This window comes from Homo sapiens, chromosome 4, assembly GCF_000001405.40.
Source record: "Homo sapiens chromosome 4, GRCh38.p14 Primary Assembly".
NCBI lineage: Eukaryota > Metazoa > Chordata > Mammalia > Primates > Hominidae > Homo > Homo sapiens.
In genome coordinates this window covers 146,098,597-146,105,396 of record NC_000004.12, presented here as the reverse complement: position 1 = coordinate 146,105,396, position 6,800 = coordinate 146,098,597, and the positions used below count along the sequence as shown (strand labels likewise).

The window sequence follows — 6,800 nt, the reverse complement described above, 5'->3', positions numbered from 1 at the left end:
GAAATGTTAGTATTGTGCTAACTGAGGCATTGGCTAAAAAAGAAGTGTGTGTATGGAGTAGGGGGTGGGTGTGGATGGAGACAGGGTAGGAGGGGTTCCCTGCTTTTATAAATCCGGCAAGCCTGCCTTTGACAGTCTTTCATGTTGGCTTTATTCTTCCCTTTGGGAATTTTCCGAAGTCACTTTTGGCCTTTGTTTATTTTAAAGGAAGTAGAGAAACAGCCACAAGAGGAGGAGAGGAATATAGTTGCCTACAAATCGACTAATGTGTTTTTTCTCTCTCTATGTTACACAACAGATATATAACAGCGCTTCCCCTGCATTGAATGGTAGAGATCAGAGTTTCTAAATTCCAAAAAAAAAAAAAAAAAAAAAAAGTCAAAACTGGTACATTTTAGAGATGAGGAATAAGCATAGGTGGGAAAATGTCTGCAGGCATAGGCAGCCTTGGGCAGGTCTGATCTGACCCATTCTAATCAGTTATTGGGAAGAGAGTAATTATTAAGGCAGGGGAGGTGACAGTCACCTCCACCCCCAAATCCTGGGGGCGCCATGTAGCCCAGGCCATCCTAAATGGTAGGTCACTGACTTTCAAGAACGCCTGGGTAAAGCACATTACAAGAAGTGCCATCCTCTTTGAGCAATACATATGCTATAGCTGGGCTGTGTGCCAGGCCAAGGGGACCTGCCTGTTGGTGGTGAGGATGCTTTCCATGAGGGGGTTGTGTGGACTAGCGCCCTGGAGGAGGCAGCCCCCCTGATTTTCAGCGTGAGAGAAAGATAATCCTAATCCCATCAGTGGCCCTCACTTGTAGTGCTATATGAGCCAGGCCCTGTGTTGAATTTTTCACATTGATTATTTTTAATGATCCTTAAACATAGAGAACTATTATTATTCTCTTGAGAAAATTGAGGCCCAGGGAGATAAAGCCACTTACTCAGGGTGCATGATGAGGTGGCAGAGTAAAACTCAATTCCATGTTTTTCTCACCAGAAGACCCTTGCTCTTATCCCCCACATCTTATGTTTGTTGACACCACTTGTGGTTGGTACCTGAGCTTATTCACTTCCCGTGGCCTTGTTCCTCCGTTCCTTTATTTCTCTGTTGGCTGTTTCCCTCTCTCTCTCTCTCTCTCTCTCTCTCTCTCTCTTTCTCTCTCTCTCTCTCTGTCTCTCTCTCTCTCTCTCTTTCTCTCTCTCTCTCTCTCTCTGTCTCTCTCTCTCTCTTCTTTCTTGACGGAGTCTCACTCTGTCTTCCAGACTGGAGTGCAGTGGCGCGAGCTCGGTTCACTGCAAGCTCCGCCTCACGGGTTCAAGCCATTCTCCCTCCTCAGCCTCCCGAGTAGCTGGGACCACAGGTGCCTGCCACCATGCCCGGCTAATTTTTTATATTTTTTTAGTAGAGACAGGGTTTCACCCTGTTAGCCAGGATAGTCTCCATCTCCTGACGTCGTTATCCGCCCACCTCTGCCTTCCAAAGTGCTGGGATTACAGGCTTGAGCCACCGCGCCTGGTCTGTTGCCTGTTTCTTAAATCTTCCATCCTGGGGGATGGGAGGTGGAGAGAATGAAAAGGAGCTACTGCCATCCCCACCCCCAACCCCCTCACCTCCACCCACCCCGACCGCCATTTACATTTCTATTTCATTTTCACACACATGTCCATTTAAGTCTTCATTGCCCCCAAGCAAGAATATTTCAATGTCAAGACCTGCCACAGCATAAGGACTTTGCCCACAGCACTACATTTAGAAGTGATCATGCAAATTATTCAAGTGGCCCAAAGCCTTGATTGTGTAGACAACTTCAGTGGAAAATGCTCCATTCTGATCTCAGTCCCCATCTTTCTCAATTCACTGTTGAGTCTTCACAAAGTATCCTACTCAATCATCTCTTTGACAGTCCAGATGGAACAGATAAGGGAGGAGACTCTTTTCAAGACAATTCTTAAAAATATACGCAGAATAATATGGGGAATAGGCACTCTCCTGTATTGTTCTCAAGTAGGCAGGATGGAAGGATCTCTCTAGCAATTTGATGATATATTTTAAAACTCTGAACAATATTTACGTTCTCTGATCAAATGATACTGCATGTAGAAATTTATCCTAATTCAATAATCGTAGGCATGTGCAAATATTTGCATGCACAGAAATGTTCATCATGGAATTGGATTATAATAGTGAAAAACTGGGACCGAAGTGTCAGTGATAGGCGCTTGGCTCAGTAAATGATGACTCATCCATACATTATAACATTATACAGTTATAAAAAGGGTTTCATAAGGAATTTAACGATTTAAAGAAATGATCCTGAAATATTAAGCAAATATTTCAAGAAAGTTCTGTTCATAACGGCACTCACTAGTCACATGTGGTTATTTAAATTTTAATTGATTATAATTAAATAAAATTAAATATTTAGTTTCTCAGTGACAGAAGGCACATTTCCATACTCAATAATTATATTGGACAGTGCAGATGTATAACATTTCCATTATTTGCAGAATTGTGGGCACTAAATAGAATATGATTTCATTTTTTCCAATATATGTATACACATAGAAAAATATTAGAAGAAAATATGCCAAATAATAATGATGATCTTTAGTTGGTGGGATTGGATGAGAGGTAGGCACACTTTTTCTATAAAGGGACTAATAGTATTTTGCTTTATTTTATTTTATTTATGTGTTTTGAGACAAAGTCTTGCTCTGTCACCCAAGCTGGAACACAGTAGCATGATCACAGCTCACTTCAGCCTTGACCTCCCAGGCTCAAGCAATCCTCCTCCCTCAGCCTCCCGAGTGGCTGGGAACACAGGTATGTACCACCACACCCAGCTAGTTTATTTTTATTTTTTATATTCTTTAGAAACAGGGTCTCCCTGTGTTGCCCAGGATGGTTTCAAACTCCTGGGCTCAAAAGATCCTCCCATTTCGGCCTCCCTAAGTGCTGGGATTTTAGGGATGAGCCACAGCACCCAGCCCATAGTAAGTATTTTAGACTTTGTGAGCCATGCAGTCTGTGTCACAGCTACTTCATCTGCCATTTCAGCAAGAAAGTAGCCATGGGTAGCACATAAGTGAATGGGCGTGATTGCATTCCAATAAAACCTTAAAGACAAAGATAGGTTGTGGGCTGAATTTGGCCCACACGCCATAATTTGCTGACCTTCCAGATTAGATAATTAAGAGTAAGGTTTTTTTTTTCTGTGTACTTACTTATATTTAAATTTTAAAACTAAGTAATGTGTATCCTTTATTTTTAAAATAAAACTCAGCCTTTCTAAACACCAATTAACATTCAAGCTAAGAGCCAAATTAAAAATGCAAACCTATTTACAATAGCTGCAAAAAAATGAAATACCTAGGAATATATCCAACTAAGGAGGTGAAAGATCTGTACAAGGAGAACTACAAAATACTGCTGAAAGAAATCACAGATAACACAAATAAATGGAAAAACATTCCATGCTCATGGATTGGAAGAATCAATATTATTAAAATAGTCATACTTATCAAAGCACTTTACAGATTCAATGCTATTCCTATCAATCTACCAATGTCATTTTTCACAGAACTAGAAAAAATATTTTAAAATTCATATGGAACCAAAAAGCTAAAATCACCAAAGCAATCCTAAGCAAAAAGGACAAAGTTGGAGGCATCACATTCCCAAACTTCAAACTATGCTATAAGTCTGCAGTAACCAAAACAGCATGATACTAGTACAAAAACAGACAAATAGAACAGTGGAACAGAATAGAGAACCCAAAGATAAAGCTGCATGTATACAACCATCTGATCTTTGAAAAAGTAGAGAAAAATAAGCAATGGGGAAAGGACTTTCTGTTCAATAAATGGTGATGGAATAACTGGCTAACCATATGAAGAAGAATGGAACTGGACTCTTACCTTTCACCATATACAAAAATGAACTCAAGATGGATTAAAGATTTAAATGTAAGACCTCAAATTACAAGAATCTTAGAAGAAAACCTAGGAAACACCACTCTGGACATGGGCCTTAGGGAAGAAATTTATGACTAAGTCCTCAAAAGCAATTGCAACCAACACAAAAACTGTCAAATGGGACATAATTAAAGAGCTTCTGCTCAACAATAAAAACAATCAACAGAGTAAACAGATACAGAATGGGAGAAAATATTCACAAACTGTGCATCTGACAGGGGTCTAACATCCAGAATCTACAAGGAACTTAATTCAACAAGCAAGAAACAAGTAACTCCATTAAAAAATGGGCAAAAGACATAAACAGACACTTCTCAAAAGAAGACATACAAACATATTTAAAAAATGCTCAACATCACTAATCATCAGGGAAATGCAAATCAAAACCACAAGGTTATACCATCTCACACCAGTCAGAATGGCTACTATTAAAAAGTCAAAAAACAACAGATCCTGGTGAGACTGCAGAGGAAGGGGACTGCTTATGCACTGTTGGTGGGAATGTAAGTTAGTTCACCCACTGTGGAAAGCAGTTTGGAGATTTCTCAAAGAACTTACAACAGAACTGCCATTCAACCCAGTAGTCCCATTACTGGTTATATATCCAAAAGAGAATAAATCATTCTACCAAAAGGACACACGCACTCATGTGTTCATTGCGACACTATTCATAGCAACAGAGATGAAATCAGCCTGGATATTCATCAGTGGTGGAATGGATAAAGAAAATGTGGCACATGTACACAATGAAATACTATGCAGCCATAAAAAAGAAAAAAATCATGTCCTTTGAAGCAACATGGGTGTAGCTGGAGGCCATTATCCTAAGTGAATTATTGCAGGAACAGAAAACTAAATACTGCATGTTCTCACTTACATGTGGGACCTAAATATTGGATACTCATGGACATAAAGATGGCAACAATAGACACTGGGGACTACTAGAATGGGGAGGGAGGTGGGCCAGGGTTGAAAAACTATTGGACACTATGCTCAGTATCTGGGTGACGGCATCAATTGTAGTCCAAACCTCAGCATCATGCAGTATACCCAGGTAAAACCTGCACATGTACCCGTTAATCTAAAATAAAAGCTGAAATTATAAAATAAAATAAAACTCACAGGAAAACATATATATGTGTATATACTTTATATATAATACATATATATATATAATGTGTACATATATACTTTGTATGTTTTATATCTATCTGTTTCTAGACCTGAAAGATCTGGGTGCAGATACATAGAATTTTCGCAAGGCAAAGCTGAGCTATTAAGTTACTAAAACTCCCATACATGCAGAAGTCCAGGTAGCTCCTTCTCAACCCTGCTGAGGATCTGTCCTGCCGCTCACACTTTCCATGTCCCACTGCACAAAGAGCACCAGCACTAATGCTCCCCAAGATGTTATTCCTCTTAGTTTACTAATTCAACTGCTTCAGAGCACAGTACCTGGGTGTTTGTCTCTGAGCTTGCCAAGATGGAAATGTACATCTTAGAATATAATTCCCTGGAGAAGGCAACCTCTGCACCCTTCACCCCACGTGTTGCCAGCAGGGTGTCCTGTGCAAGAGTCTTTTCAGGGTACATTTCATGATGACGTCTGACAGAGGCTTCAGTGAATCTCTGACTGCACGGGGAGCTCTAGTGGGCACTGTGGTCAGCACATGGATGAATGCAGGACTGCTGGTGTTCTGGAAGGACTTCTGGACTGACAGGCCTCTGATTGGTTCTGTATCCTGGTCTGAATCCTCACCTGAAGAAGCAGAGGCTTGCATTCCACTCATTCTGTGGTTTTCAAACTGTGCTTCTTGAGTTCTGGGAGAAGAGGGGAAACAGCTGAATTTTAGGGTCCAGGCCCTCACTCTGCTTCAATCAGAGCAGTTCCCCACATATATCCACTCTAGATATTGACTTTCTGAGTTGGACTTTGACCAAATAAAGGGTTCTTCTGCTGCTGGAGGAATAAGGGTGGGGGAAAAGTGGTGAGAAAGGAGGATTAAAAAACACGGGATAATTGTCATAAACTGGTAGGCTATAGCCATGTTTCATTAGTTCAAAATGGTGTTTTAAATTTTTTATAATTTGAAACCAAGGTTTAAAAACTAGATTTCACATCTAAAATTAGAAAAGAAACCAAAAACCAAAAAACAACCGTGTCTCTCTGACTTCTCTTAAAAAGTCAGAAAATCTGGCCACATTCATCTCATAATCCCTCACACTGGCCCTTTGCTTGTGCTGAGAAGCAGTCACTCCCTTCAGGAGGACATGTACCCTCAGTGCACCCTCTCATGACAACCCCTTCTTGCACACCACCCGGACTCCCCCATTCATGCACATTTCCTGCCTTGGCTCTTGTAGGCATTTGGATTCAAGACCCTGAGGCTAGACAATTGCAAAGGCCCTTGCCTGTTCCCATAGCCTACTGGATTTCTGTTACATGCATGGCAATTAATACTAAAAATAAAGCTACAATCCTTCCCTCAAAGTCACCCTAAGTTATGAACATCTTAGTCACAAAAATCCTGCTCATGTTAAGTGCTGGGGTCAGGAGCTGATTTTCTCATGAACAAAGTACGTGAAGCCCCCAGCCATACAAACAGGTTTTCCTTCCAAGGAGTGCCATGTGGAGCTGCAGGGGAACCGCTGGAGTTATTCTCCAAATCTTTTTCTTCTTCTTGTTCCTTCCCCACTTCTGCCTGCAGGGTAAAATTGTACTTTTTGGCCCCCTTGAAGTAGTCCTGGACAGGGAGTTTGAGCAAAACTAACATGAGTCATTTCTGGACATTAGTATTTTATATGATCTGAAACCCTGGGCTCACACT

General features: G+C 40.8%; 1 annotated feature.

Annotated features, from left to right (window-relative positions):
- Nucleotides 5,505–5,744: an enhancer, noted in NCBI's record as "active region_21978". NCBI's record gives its function as "activates an Ori minimal core promoter by ATAC-STARR-seq in GM12878 lymphoblastoid cells {active_cell/tissue: GM12878}" and the evidence as "EXISTENCE:reporter gene assay evidence [ECO:0000049][PMID:35858748]".